The sequence below is a fragment of the Homo sapiens genome, chromosome 14, assembly GCF_000001405.40.
Source record: "Homo sapiens chromosome 14, GRCh38.p14 Primary Assembly".
In the NCBI taxonomy this organism is placed as follows: Eukaryota; Metazoa; Chordata; class Mammalia; order Primates; family Hominidae; genus Homo; species Homo sapiens.
In genome coordinates, this window is record NC_000014.9 from 90,511,459 (window position 1) to 90,524,499 (window position 13,041).

Sequence of the window (13,041 nt, forward strand, 5' to 3'; positions counted from 1 at the left end):
GCTGATCAATTTTTGACGTCACACCTGCAGCAGGGCTGAGTGCCCAGGAGAAAAGGGTCTTAACAGCACCTTGAAGTGAGTTGCCAGGCTGGGCAGAGATCAGGGAAGGCCAAGGAGGAAGGCTGTGAGCCACCTGGCCTTCAGAGAACTCCCAGACAGTGGCCCAGGGACCAGTCCAGCCCAGATCACCTTAGGCAGTGACCCCTCTCCCAGAATCCAGGCACCCTAGAGGCACCTTAGCAGAAGAACTCTCTGAGGTCTGCAGGCTTGAGCTGTTTTGCTTTCTCCAAGACAGTTTCGTCCTGTAATGGTCGCCATTCTCATTGTCATCATCCCGTTACAGTATATTTGTTTTATTTGAGAAACGTATGTAATGATTATTTCTGGCACTATGCTAAGTGCTTAAAAAGTATGAATTCACTAACTGCCGCAACCCCATAAGGTGGGTACTATTTATGAACCCTGAGGCCCAGAGAGGTCGAGTAACGTGCTTGATGTCATGTGGCCGATGGATGGCCACGTGGGGCTCTCGGCTTCCTTCTGAGAGGCAGCTGCCAGGGATGGGACACACAGTTGCTCCAGGCCCATCTCCAGACACAGCACTGTCCCCTATGTTGTCCCCATGCTTCCTGGGGCCTTGTGAGCTTCAGATTATTCATCTGTAAATGAGGACAATAAGGCCAGCTCTGGGGGCCCAGGGCTGGGCCTGGGGGAGGGCTCAGCCCCACAGGGCCCTGCCCCCTCCTTGCTGTTCACCATCTGTCTGAGGCTCACTCAGAAGCTCCCACTGACACGATTTGATTCTGCCAGAGCAATGTGCTGAGGGGTAGATGCAGGGCCCGGTGGGAGCCCCAGACTGCAGGGTGAGCTTCCTCTGGGGGCAAACCCAGCCACGCCAACCCAGGTGAGGCAGCCTGTGTGCTCTTGCGTGCCCCTGACCTTCCCCTGCCAGGCTGGCAGCCAGAGCTGACTCTTTTAAAGAACACTGGGCCAGGATCACAGCCACCCCAGGCCGAACCCTGAGCTGTGGGTTGTTTGCCAGGACGAGGTGGCCCTGGGGCAAGGAGGCCTCCCCAGGATGGGCTGCCCCCACCGTGGAGGAAATCCACACAGCAGCTCGGTTCCCCCAAAGGATTCCCTGCCTGCAGTCCAGGCCACACCAAAGTACACAGAGCCCTTGTGTGCGGCAGGAGGAGAGGGTGGGACTCCAGCAGGAGAAGCTTCCCGCCTTTTGGAAGCCCCCAGGCACCTGCCCAGGGGTCATAGGGATTCTTGGAGATCACTTTCCAGTCCAGAAATGCCTCCACCCCAGCCCTTCCAAGCCCTCAGTGTGGGGAGAGGCAGAGCCCCAGCACAGCTCACCCCTCCCTTGGAGGAAGGGAGTCAGAGGGGGTGAGCACTGGCTAAAGGTCACGCAGGAGACCTGGCTGCCGGCTGCCTTGGGCTGGGCCTGTCACAGGAGCCTTCTTGCACACTAAGGGCCTCAAACATAAGCCTTTGACATTCTCTCCAAAGGAGGTTACAGACTCAGGCACAACCACGATGTCTGCAGGGCCAGAGGAAGTTTGTTTCACAGCCACCAGGGAGGGTCCCATCACTGGACGCACCTCCTATGGCTCCTAAACCTGGATGTGTCGGAAATAAATCCTGTATCTACTTGGTAGCTACCACTAGGCTATTGCCCCAGTGGGGGCTGAAAGTGGTAATTTGTTCACCATAAGCATTACAAACAATATTATGATTCTTATAACGTGATCTCCATGTGTCGGTAAGACATTAAGACCCTTAAAAAATGACCATGACTCAAGTTGTTCTCTGCCTCCAAGGGCCTGGTTCCAGAAAATTCTGGGTGGAGGTGAGCTGGGCAGCCTCCCTCTAACCTCCCCGGGGAATGGCCTGGGGACTTAGCCAAACGCTGACAACCAGTGTGTGAGGGACAGGTGGACGCTTCCCAAATCAGCTCTGTGCAGAGGACAGACCGCAGCTGTCAGGCCTATGTTGGCCTGACCCTCCCCTGTGACCTTGGGCCAGGGACCCCCTCCAGTGTCAGCGTCCCCATCAGAGCCTCAAGAGCTGAGCCAAGTGACCCTTCTGATGCTCCCTAGCCCTGCCACTCAGCTCCAGCTCAGCCCCAGGGAAGCCCCTCCACTGTGGGGACTCACCTGGAGCTACCTGGGGCATGAGCAGCTGAGGAAGGAAAGAAAATGCTCTTTAAGTTGTCATAACAGAGCGGGGCCTCCAGCACCTCCTGTTTACTGAAGGTGAGTAAATACAGCCGGGCCCTTAGCAACAGGCACAAAGGGGCCCTTGTGCCGCCCGCTGCTCGCTGCTCGCTGCTCCCTTGGCTCCCTCCCTGAGCTCAGCCCCAGCTGGGAGCTCTCTGAGAGGCAGGCTGGCCTGGCCCACAGCCCTGGCCTGACTGGGTGGGGAACGGGGCGGGTGCAAGGACTGCTGTGTGCCAGTCTCCAGGCGTGTCAGGGAGCCAGGCCTTTAGAGGGCCCTGTCCTCTGCAGGCAGAAAATTCCACCCCATTCTTCTGACCAGCAAACTGGGGTTCTGAGAGGCCCCTGATTTGAGTTTGTCACTCAGAGATGGAGCGGGTGAGCCTTAGACCAAGAAGCCCTGAGTTGGACGTCAGTCTCGGCCATGGGCGCTTTGGCGTGTTCTGTGTTACGAGTCCCAGTCTCTTCATTTCTAACAAGGGGCTCATGCATCACGCCTGGCTCACCTGGCTGCGTGCGCATCAAATCAGATGAGTGTGTGAGGACGTTCATTCTAAACTTTACAAGCTCTGAGCAAACAGAGGGAGTTATTATTGGGCCAAGCGGGCAGACCAGACATTAGAGTTGATGATAAATCGGTCGGGCCCCTGTCAAGCGCTAGGAGCTTCCAGAGCCCCCTTTTGAATGATGAGGTGTCACGCCTCCTGGAACCCCAGGTACTGGCAGCCGACTCCATGCCAGGCTGGGGAAATGGGGTGAGGATGGTGCAATCCCTGCCTAGAGGGCCTCCCTCTCTAAAACAAAGGGCTAGTTCCACGGTGTATGAAGCACTATAATTCATCAATAAACTGTGAAGGCCTCAGTTGAAAAATGAGAAAAAGACATGGCTAAGAAGTAACTCATGAAAGAATTAAGACTGGACACAGTGGCTCATGCCTGTAATTCCAGCTATTTGGGAGGCCGAGGTGGGAGGATCACGTGAGATCAGGAGTTCAAGACCAGCCTGGGCAACACAGTGAGACCACATCTCTACAAAAAAAAAATTTTTTAATAAAAACGGAAATAAGTGAGTTGGGCATGGCAGTGTGTGCCTGCAGTCTTGGCTACTCAGGCTGCTGAGGCAGGAGGACCACTTGAGCCCAGGAGTTCGAGGTTGCAGGTGCCACTGCACTCTAGCCTGGGTGACAGAGGGAGACTCCATCTCTTAAAAAAGAAAATGAATGCTTATCAACACTTAGAAAAAAACAAAAAATAGAAATCAACCTGATGAGTAACAAAAATGAAAATAAAAGCAACATTCAGATTTTCTGCACCCCCCCATTAGATTATTAAAAAGATTAGAAACATTTCCCCCAGCATGGGCAAGTTGGTTATGAAGGCTCTGCCCCTTACTAACTTTTTTTTTTTTTTTTTTGAGATGGAGTCTGGCTCTATCACCCAGGCCCGAGTGCAGTGGCGCGATCTCAGCTCACTGCAAGCTCTGCCTCCCGGGTTCACGCCATTCTCCTGCCTCAGCCTCCCGAGTAGCTGGGACTACAGGCGCCCGCCACCACGCCCGGCTAATTTTTTGTATTTTTAGTAGAGACAGGATTTCACCGTGTTACCCAGGATGGTCTCGATCTCCTGATCTTGTGATCTGCCCACCTTGGCCTCCCAAAGTGCTGGGATTACAGGCATGAGCCACCACGCCCAGCCACCCCTTACTAACTTTTGACCTCTAGCATAAACTCCATGCCTCACTTTACCTGTCTGTAAAATGGGCACTAACAGTACCCGCCTTGCAGGTTTGTTGGGAGGAGTAAATGAGTTACTGTGTATAAAGTGCTTCGAGGGATGCCAGGCGTGTAACTGGTATTTCATGCACTGTAGTTATTATTTTTATGATCACCATTGGTTCAAAGTATACATTGGACAATCTTGTCTTGTTTGTTAAAATAAAAAGTTGGAAATCATCTAAAGTCCTTTAACTGGGAACTAAAGAATTCGATTAGAATCTGTGGATCCCATGGAATACGTTCCCACAACTGGGTCAGCGAGCGCACGGGTGTTTGTATTGACACGGAAGGTTCTCCATGTCACATTGATGGATGAACAAGCAGCCACGCCAAAGAGATCCGGCTTCTGTGGAGTTGGAAACATGGATTTATTGGTGTGTATTTGCGCTGAGACACGGGCAGGGATGTTCTCCAGCTGTTAGCGGCGGCTTTCTAGGAATGAAGCATTTTAAGGCTTTTGTTTTCTTCTCTACACTTTTCTGGTTTTTAAAAAGTACAAGAAGTTTTTTTTTTTTGGTTAAAAAAAAAGTTTCCTAAAGCCATTTTCTTTTGTTTGAATTTCAAATGCAGTAAGTGCTGAACGGAAGCGCTGAGGCAGAAGTGACCAAAGAGGGAACAGTGAAATTTGGGCTTGTCAGTGGGGACGAGGTGGGGGAGGCAGAGTCAGTGTTGATGGGGTGGGAGGTGGGCTATGTGGCAGGAGGGCAGGGACTTTGAAGAGTCCAGGGCTTTGAGAGGGACAAGGGGGGCAGTTAGAAAAGCAAGTTGGCTGGGCGTGGTGGCTCACGCCTGTAATCCCAGCACTTTGGGAGGCTGAGGTGGGCAGATCACAAGGTCAGGAGTTCGAGACCAGCCTGGCCAATATAGTGAAACCCTATCTCTACCAAAAATACAAAAATTAGCTGGGTGTGGTGGCACATGCCTGTAATCCTAGCTACTCAGGAGGCTGAGGAAGGAGAATTGCTTGAACTCAGGAGGCGGAGGTTGCAGTGAGCCAAGATTGCGCCACTGCACTCCAGCCTGGGCGACAAAGGAAGACTCCGTCTCAAAGAAGAAAATTGAAAAGCAAGTTGAAGCAAAGTCACATCATTGGAAGGGCAGATGGAGGTTTTATCTGGAAGGTGCAGGGGAGTTCAAAAAAGTAAGATAAGATGTGGACTCTGATCTGGCCTCTGCCCTATTTTGGTTGTTCTCATTTGGGCCTCAGTGCTCTGGGCAGGAAAGTCTTGGAGCAGGGACACAGGCGGGAGCCTCCTGTCCATTTTCTGAGAGAGATAGGCCAGAGAAGGCAGCTGGATGCTTGAGTATGAAGAAAGCCCCCTGTTTAGGGCTTGTATCTCTCCAAGTCCAGCAGGGCCTCGGCCACCCTGAGAAGAGAGCCAGTCCCCATGTGTGTGCTGGGACTTGAAGAGCCTAAGAAAAGGGCTGGACCCTCCCAGGGCCAGCAGGCTCTCACTACCCCAGAGCCAAAGACCACAAGCCACTCTCCAGGGCCACGGGATGGCAGCCTGATGAGTCAGCGCAGTTACCTGATCAGGCAGCGTCGCGCCATGAGAGGTGATCTCATGCGCCAGTCTCCAGCCGCTCCTCGCTATTCCCCAGGCTCTGGGACGGTGGAGTTAGCTGACCAGGCAGAAGTTGGCTCCCTGGCAGCACGCTGGTGGTCCCAAGACGCCCTGTTAATATTTGGAGGCTGGATAGGTCCACGTGGTGGGGAGCTGTCCTGTGTATGGTGGGATTTTTAGCAGTGCCCCGGCTTCTACCCACTAGATGCCAGCAGTATCCCTTGGCAATTGTGACATTGCCAAATGGTCCCTGGGAGACACAATTACCCCCATTTGAGAACTTCAGCTCCATGGTGACCTGCATGGCCATCAGCCCCTCTCCAGGGCTGAACACTCCTCAGGGACAGGGTCTCCATGTCCCCAGCACCCCACACAGGCTCAGCATACGCAGGTGTGAACACCTGGGCTCTGGCCCTCCCTCACCAGAACCCCCTCCCTTCTTGCAAGGAGTGCAGCTGCAGCCAGAGAGGACACCCAGTCCCTGCCCCTGCCCCCAGCCCGCCCAGAGCGGAGATGAGCTGAAAACCCCACTGTGTCTCCCACCTCGCCCAACTCTGGGATCCAAGCGGCCAGGTTGCAAAGAACCAAATCCTTTGAGTGAAACAACCTTTAGTAACCTTTTCAGACAAACACGCCCTCCCCTCCCGCCACTTGCTGGAAGCCAAAGCTGCTGACACAGCCATGTGGGGACCTGTGGGGACTCCCTCTCCTTGAATCGCGGCACATGCACCCTTCACACCCAGCCACTCCCTGCCACCCGCTCTCTCAAAGGGAAGGGCCACCAGGATCTACTGCCACACTCTTTTTTTTTTCTTCGAGACAGGGCCTTGCTCTGTCACCCAGGCTGGAGTGCGGTGGTGTGATCACAGCCTTCCCAAGCCCCATTCTTAACACCCAAAAGCATTTATAAGAAGTTCAGTTCTCAGTGTTTAGGGAGACAGTGGGCGGGAGATCTGTCCAAAGGGTGCTGAGTCCTGCACTGCCCAAGTACGAGATTTGTTGGGGCTCCCCCAGCAAGTGTCCTGGGGCCATGCGCTGTCTGGAGGGGCTTCTGCTTCCATCTCTGACTCTGATCTGGAAGGGATTCCATCCCCTCCCTCTGCCAGTGCCTGGGACAGAGACAGCTTCTGCCGGAGATCTGCAGGGCCTAACATAAAGCAAGAAGCCGTGCTCGTTAGGCCGGCGGCCAGCACCGCAGAGCGCGCAGAAGGAAATAAACTTCCACTAGAAACTGCTGGCTGGGCAGGCAGGAAGGGTGCTCCAGGGAGCTTGGAGCTTTTGCAGGGTCAGGGACCCCAAACATCATGTGCACAGTGGCTAGTGCTCCAGCTCAGGAGAGCGTCCCCAGAATGCATGACCCGGACCAAGGCCCACAGGGCACACATGGCGTCAACAGGACCCTGGATAGAGGGCTTTCAGATAAAATCCAAACAGGGACGCATCTCCCAAAAAAGACCCGTGGTTGGTCCCGGACAGCCAAGCCCCGCCCTCAGCACTCAGCCAGGGCTGGTCCTCAAGCTGTGTTGACTGAAGGGCAGGCCGGATTAATGTCACTCCAGAAGGAACATGACAGCAAGCCCTTCTCAACAACCCATCTTCACAAATGCTCCATGAGGCAGTCATTCCCCGCACTAGGGACTCCCGGCTGGCTCCATGTGATGCCTGGGGAAGGTGAGCTACTGACTTCCTGTTGTCTTTCGTTAGAGGGGACTCCAGGCTACCCCATGACAGCGTCATCAGGCACTCGCAGGCAGATATGTTTTGGTGAGGGCTGGTGAAGGGTAGGACGGCCATGGGCATGCACCCATCCCATCCATGTGTCATGGCAGGAAGAAACAAAGGTTAAGAACCACAGCACTAGATGTCTGGGTTCGGGGACACGTGCCGTTGTGACCTGGATTCTGGTGCCTGGGGTGGGCACAACCAGGTACGTGCCTTGTTCCAGGAAGCTGTCTGCAGCAGGCCTGTTGCTGGCTGGGTTTGCACTGGAATTTGGGGTCCCCTCATCCCCCGCCAGGCGTTCACACCCCTGTGCCTTCTGTGTCTTCTGTCCCACACTGCCCCCTGGAGGAGGGATGAAGGATGGTGCTGAAGGGCACAAGCAGTAGACATTTTCATCCACCTTCACCTCCTCTTCCTGGCCAACAGAACGTTGATTTTGTTCAAGGCGGCAGAATGCCCAGCCCCAGGGACAAGTCTTGCTTCATTGCATAAGTCAGTGATGATGGCCCTGTACCCCTGTGCCAGGCCCTTTCTTTCCCAGCCTCCTTTGCAGCTAGGGGCCATTGACGCAATTTCAGGCAATGAAGTGTAAGGGAAAGTTTTTTGTGGGGGTGCTTCTGGGAGAGCTTTTGCTTCTTAACAAAAGGGAAGGGTGTGAAAGGAGAGTTCTCTTAGGTCCACCCTCACTTTCTTTCATGCTGGAGTGCAGACGTGGTGGCCGGTGCTGCAGCAGCCATCCTGCAACTATGTGGCACCAAGTTAACACAGAGGATGGTGGGCAGAGAGAGGGAAAGAACCTGGGTCCTTGATGACCTCACCAAGCAGCCAAGCCACCCGGAAACTGCCTATGCCCAGGGTCCTTGTGAAGTAACAATGGCTGTATTTGTGGTTTTGTTGAATTCTGTTACTTGCAGCCAAACACATCGGGGCAGCACTGAGGTGTGAGGTGCTGTGTGAGCATGGGTAAAGCACTTGGCACAATGCCCAGCCTATGGTAAATGCGCATCAATGGAGGCTATTATTACAATCACGTGCATCTATGAGTGTGCACGAGTTGCTAACTCGTGTGGGCACATATGGGTGAATATGGATGTGTGATGTGCAGGTGACCTCTGGTTCAAAATGTGATTCAAGTCCTGTCCTGTTACTTGGCCCAGGCACTGGGGCCACTCCCTCGACCTTGCTGAGATGCAGTTTCCTTAACTAAACGGGGAGGACAATGACTTACATGGGTCCAAGCTGGCAGCTGGCATTGCTAACCTCGCAATCACCCAGAGGTAGGACAAGAGTATTGGCTCCACCTGGCAGATGGGGAAACTGAGGCTTAGAGAGCGTAAGTGAAACGCCCACATTTAGAGCCAAGAAGTGGTGATGCTGAGACTTGAACCATGTGGCCTCACACAGAACCTGTGTGTGCAGGGCTGTATGTGAGTGTGTATATGTGCAGGAGTGTGTGTGCAGGAATGTGTGTGCGAGGGTGTGTGTGGAGTGCATGTGAACATGTGTTCAGGGGTCTGTGTGCAGGGAGTGTGCACATGAGAAGTCACTTAGGTCAGTGTGTATGAAACCCAAGCCATTCTGGACAAACCCTGATGACTCTGTCTAGAGGGAGGGTCTCTCCTTATTCCTCAGAGGAGCAGTTGGGCCTCCCTCACCCAAATCTTTACTGGCTCTCCCAGACTCCTGGGCTCCAGCAGGACTGTCTCTGTTGCAGTGGCTCTCTCTGGCTCTCCAGGGCCCTGGCGCTCCACAGTGGCTGACTCCTGATCCCTTTTCCAAAACAACATCCGCAGCAGCTCCCAAGGGGTGAGCCACCTCCCTCCTGTTTACCACTTGCGTGGCCCCCCGCCCTGCGGGGCTAGCTCCAGGCTGCCATCAGCAGCTGTGTTTTCCAGGCCCTGGCCCTTTCCCCTCCTGGCACCTTGGAGGCCCAGCTACAGGGCAGCTACTCTCAGGAGGGTTATCTTTTCCCTTGACACCAGGACCCACCAAGTCAAGGGGTACTTCCCAGGCTTCCCCAGTTGGGTCCAGCCTGGCAGGTGGGGAGGGGATGGTGCTGAGTGAGAGAGAAGGAAGGTGAAGGGAGTCAGAATCTCCTAGAGACAGTCCCAGGCTCCTTGCCCCACCCTCACCTCCTTCCTTGTCTGAGCAGATCTTTCAGGCTTCTCTGAAGACAGGGGTCCACTGGGACCTCAAGCTTGGGCCCAGAGGTTGTCCAGTCCCAGCTAACACACTGGGAGCCTCCTGTTCTCACTTCACCCTAACGGGCTCCTTTCTCCACCCTGTGCTCCTTGTCCTTACCTCCTCTTCTGCATCTGTGGTGAGAGACAGAGAGGTTCCACACCCCTTCCCCATTTGGAGCCTGAGGCAGCCCCACCTCCTGGGCCCATCTGTCCCCTCCAGACCCTAAGACACAAGCTTCACCTCCACGATTTTCTCACAGCAAACCTGCTGTCCTCTCCTACTGTCCTCCCCCAGGGAGTCTTTGATCCAGCTTGGGCCTTGAGCCAAAAAGTCATTAAAAGAAAGTACAGCCAAGGAGAGGAAAAAATTGCTCTTCTGATGGGAGAAAGCCAAAAGCTGTCACACGCCAGGGCCACTGGCTCTCACCCAGGAACTTGGGGGAGAACTTTCTGGGAGGTAGGGTGGGGGCCAGGGGCTGAGGCAGGAGGAGACGGTTATAGCAAAGGTCTTGGGGCCCAACAGACCGAGATGCAGCGACCAGCTTTGTTCTTGCTGAGACCTGGAGCAAGTGCCCAGCCTCTTGAGAGCCGTGACCTTGCAGGGTTGGGTGCCATGGAGACCTGGCATGCAGCGGGCCCCAGCTAGAAGGACCTCCTGAGGTCTCTGATGTTTTCCACAGCTCACAAAGGTGTTTGGGAGGGAACAGCACCAGCTGGAGCCTCTTACAGGACAGGAGACCGAGCAGAGGCCCCGGGAGGGTGACCTGTCCAACGTCACACAACAACTGGATGCCCTTGGCTCTGCCTGCATCCCCTGCAGTCCTGGCCTGTAGGAGACAGGACAGCCAGAGACATCGTCATTGGTGAGCCTCACCTTCTCAGCCCCCAGCTGGGGAAACTGAGGCCCAGAGTGGGAACTCCCATGGGCATGTGACCCGTGTAAGACGAACACGGGCAAGAAGGCACAGGTCCTGCTTCTCCCTGCCTCGCGCCCCTCTAAACCAAATAGCCGATGCTCACTGCACCAGGAACCTTGTACTTGAGGCTTTCAAGACATGATCAGATTTGATTTTTACAACAAACTAATCAATGAGGTAGGTGCCTTTATTACCCCTCATTTACAGATGAGTAAGGTGGGGCACAGAGAGGGCAAGTGACAGACTGAAAGTCACGCAGCAGATACACAGTGGAGCCGGACTTGAAACCCAGGGTGCGTGACTCCAGCACCCGTGGCTGTGGCCTCCAGTGGGGCCAGGAGAAGCTGACCTAGTCCTCCATTCTCTGCTCGCTCCCTGAAGGCCTGGGCCGGGAGGGGGAAGAATGTCCAGAACACCGCCTGCTGGGCTCCTTGTGCGGTGTGCCTGGTGCACAGTGGGTGCCTGCTGAACGTGGCACTGTGCTGAGTGAGGTGGGCTCAGCAATTGCGCTAGCACAGGGCGCTCGGGCTGAGACCCCTGTGGGAGAAACAGAGGCGGGGAGGGGCCTTCGGCTGGGCGGACACACTCAGGCGCTCACAACAGTGCATCACTATGGGCCACGCAAGTCAAGGGCAAACTCTTCACCCCCGCTCTTGCTGTAGGAAGAGCGCCAGCTCTGGGTTTCAAGCCCCTCTGCCTGAGTGGAAGGACATGTAGGGGCATCTGTGAGGATTTGAAAGGAGCAGAAGAGCGGACAGCACGAGGGGAGGCTCTGGTCAGGAAAACCAGCCAGGAGTAGTGGGAGGAGAAGCCGCGGGGGCTGCGGTCAGGAGTGGCTTCCTTCAGGCACTGGTCCTGGCCTGGCGTGGTGGTGACGACAGGGGAGACTCCTCCTCGTGCCGCGGCCTGGGCGCCTCCCCTTTCTCCTGGCTGCAGTCCTTCCCTGGCCTCTGGAGTGTGTACTCTGAGCGCCTACCCCATCACCTGTCCCCTGAGATCTCTCTAGGGAGCTGGATGTGCCTGGGGGGAGTGCCTTCTTTGGCCCCCACCCAATCCTGTCCCTTTTTGCAGTCACAGCAGCGCTCCACGCCACCCTCTGCCCTCCCCCTACCTTTCTGTGAAAACAGCTCTGGCCGGAGCACTCAAAGAGAGACCACGCCCCGCATGGGCACCACAGCGTGGGAGGGGGGAGCTGGTCCTTTGGCTTCCAGCCCTGAGCCTGTGGTGGTTGCCAGGGCAACAGCAGCCCAAGGGAGGCAGGCCTGACAGCATCGCAGGAGGCTGCCCAGCCCCTCCATCCCTCCCTGCTCCCAGGGAGGTGTAGCACCTGGGTGTGTGCACCGTGCGTGTCTGTGTGTACACACATGAACCTGCAGTCTGGATGCCACTGGCCCTGGGTTCCGCAGAGCTGGTCACCAATGGCCTCACTGATCAGAGAAGGGCGGGATGCCCGGGGCTGGGGGCTTAAAGCTCCCTCAAAGTTTTTGGGCGCGGTGACTCACGCCTGTAATCCCAGCACTTTGGGAGGCTGAGGCGGGTGGATCACGAGGTCAGGAGTTCCAGACCGGCCTGACCAACGTGGTGAAAGCCCATCTCTACTAAAAAAAAACCCAGAAATTAGCCAAGCATGGTGGTGCACACCTGTAATCCCAGCTACCAGTAGGCTGAGGCAGGAGAATCATTTGAACCCGGGAGGTGGAGGTTGCAGTGAGCCAAGATTGTGCCACTGCACTCCAGCCTGGGCGACAGAGTGAGACACTGTGTCAAAAAAAAAAAAAAAAGAGAGAGAGAGAGAAATGCAAGGTTCTGAGTCATTTCAAAATTATTTGAGTAGCTGGATTTTTCTTTCTTGGGCCACAGACATAAGAACTGGGCCCTCAGGTTTGGAAGAGCACCAACCGCACGGCAGGTGATCAGAACATGTGTCCTGACCCCTGCCCACAGGCATGGTGGTCCAGGCCTCAGCCACAGGCCACGCGGTGTTTTGGGGCCACCGCAGCAGTGGGCCGAGGCCTTTGCTTGTGGATGGACAGGGGGCTGTGCTGGGCCTCCAGAACCCACCATGCTCCCTGGAAACAAAGGAGGCCACGTGCAGGGTCTGACCTTTAGCTCCCCATAGGGAAAGGATGTGTCAGCAGAGTGTGAGCAGTGGAACCAACCTGAGCTGGCCACTGTTGGCCTTGGGAGTCCAGGCCTTGGGTCTCACCCTGCTGGTCCCAAGGCCTAGGTGGGGCAGGAAGGTGTCAGAGTTGTCCAGGACACCCGGACGGTTTGCCTGATTTTGCAAGGACAGAGGCTCAACTGAGAAGCAGGCACCCATCAACCCTCCCTCAGTAGTGTCTTTCCTGTCTCTGCTGGGCCTTGTTGACTGTGATCAATGACTTCCACTTCCCCGTTGGGGAAACTGAGGCACAGAGAAGTCATGCAGTGCCCTAGCAGCAGGGCTGAAATTCACTGGGGCTGTGGGCCCCGCCAGGAAGCCACTGGCCGCCCCACCATGCACTCCTGGCAGCCCGGCTCTCAGCGAAGTGGGAGATGGGGTGGGCTTGGCCGGAGCTAGGGAAGGGTCGCTGCAGCCCCGGCCCCACCCAGACAAGCCTCCACTTCCTGAGCTGGCCGCCAGGACAGGCTGGGCTCCCAAAATCCTTCCTAAAAAG

General features: G+C 55.5%; 1 long non-coding RNA gene across 1 annotated transcript, besides 6 other annotated features; it reads right to left on the reverse strand.

Moving 5' to 3' along the window:
• Positions 657–1,489: an enhancer, noted in NCBI's record as "H3K4me1 hESC enhancer chr14:90978459-90979291 (GRCh37/hg19 assembly coordinates)". NCBI's record gives its function as "activates a minimal SCP1, AML or CMV promoter by ChIP-STARR-seq in primed H9 embryonic stem cells {active_cell/tissue: H9 hESC(primed)}" and the evidence as "EXISTENCE:reporter gene assay evidence [ECO:0000049][PMID:30033119]".
• Positions 1,708–2,220: an enhancer, noted in NCBI's record as "H3K4me1 hESC enhancer chr14:90979510-90980022 (GRCh37/hg19 assembly coordinates)". NCBI's record gives its function as "activates a minimal SCP1, AML or CMV promoter by ChIP-STARR-seq in naive H9 embryonic stem cells {active_cell/tissue: H9 hESC(naive)}" and the evidence as "EXISTENCE:reporter gene assay evidence [ECO:0000049][PMID:30033119]".
• Positions 2,207–2,501: an enhancer, noted in NCBI's record as "tiled region #509; HepG2 Activating DNase unmatched - State 1:Tss". NCBI's record gives its function as "activates a minimal TATA promoter and a strong SV40 promoter by Sharpr-MPRA in HepG2 cells {active_cell/tissue: HepG2}" and the evidence as "EXISTENCE:reporter gene assay evidence [ECO:0000049][PMID:27701403]".
• On the reverse strand, positions 4,348–5,751 carry LOC105370619 (uncharacterized). The gene is made up of 2 exons (NR_135274.1): positions 5,527–5,751; positions 4,348–4,429 (listed from the first exon to the last, which is right to left on the reverse strand). It is a non-coding gene; the product is annotated as an uncharacterized LOC105370619 (long non-coding RNA).
• Positions 6,464–7,198: an enhancer, noted in NCBI's record as "H3K4me1 hESC enhancer chr14:90984266-90985000 (GRCh37/hg19 assembly coordinates)". NCBI's record gives its function as "activates a minimal SCP1, AML or CMV promoter by ChIP-STARR-seq in naive H9 embryonic stem cells {active_cell/tissue: H9 hESC(naive)}" and the evidence as "EXISTENCE:reporter gene assay evidence [ECO:0000049][PMID:30033119]".
• Positions 7,199–7,933: an enhancer, noted in NCBI's record as "H3K4me1 hESC enhancer chr14:90985001-90985735 (GRCh37/hg19 assembly coordinates)". NCBI's record gives its function as "activates a minimal SCP1, AML or CMV promoter by ChIP-STARR-seq in naive H9 embryonic stem cells {active_cell/tissue: H9 hESC(naive)}" and the evidence as "EXISTENCE:reporter gene assay evidence [ECO:0000049][PMID:30033119]".
• Positions 11,260–12,121: an enhancer, noted in NCBI's record as "H3K4me1 hESC enhancer chr14:90989062-90989923 (GRCh37/hg19 assembly coordinates)". NCBI's record gives its function as "activates a minimal SCP1, AML or CMV promoter by ChIP-STARR-seq in naive H9 embryonic stem cells {active_cell/tissue: H9 hESC(naive)}" and the evidence as "EXISTENCE:reporter gene assay evidence [ECO:0000049][PMID:30033119]".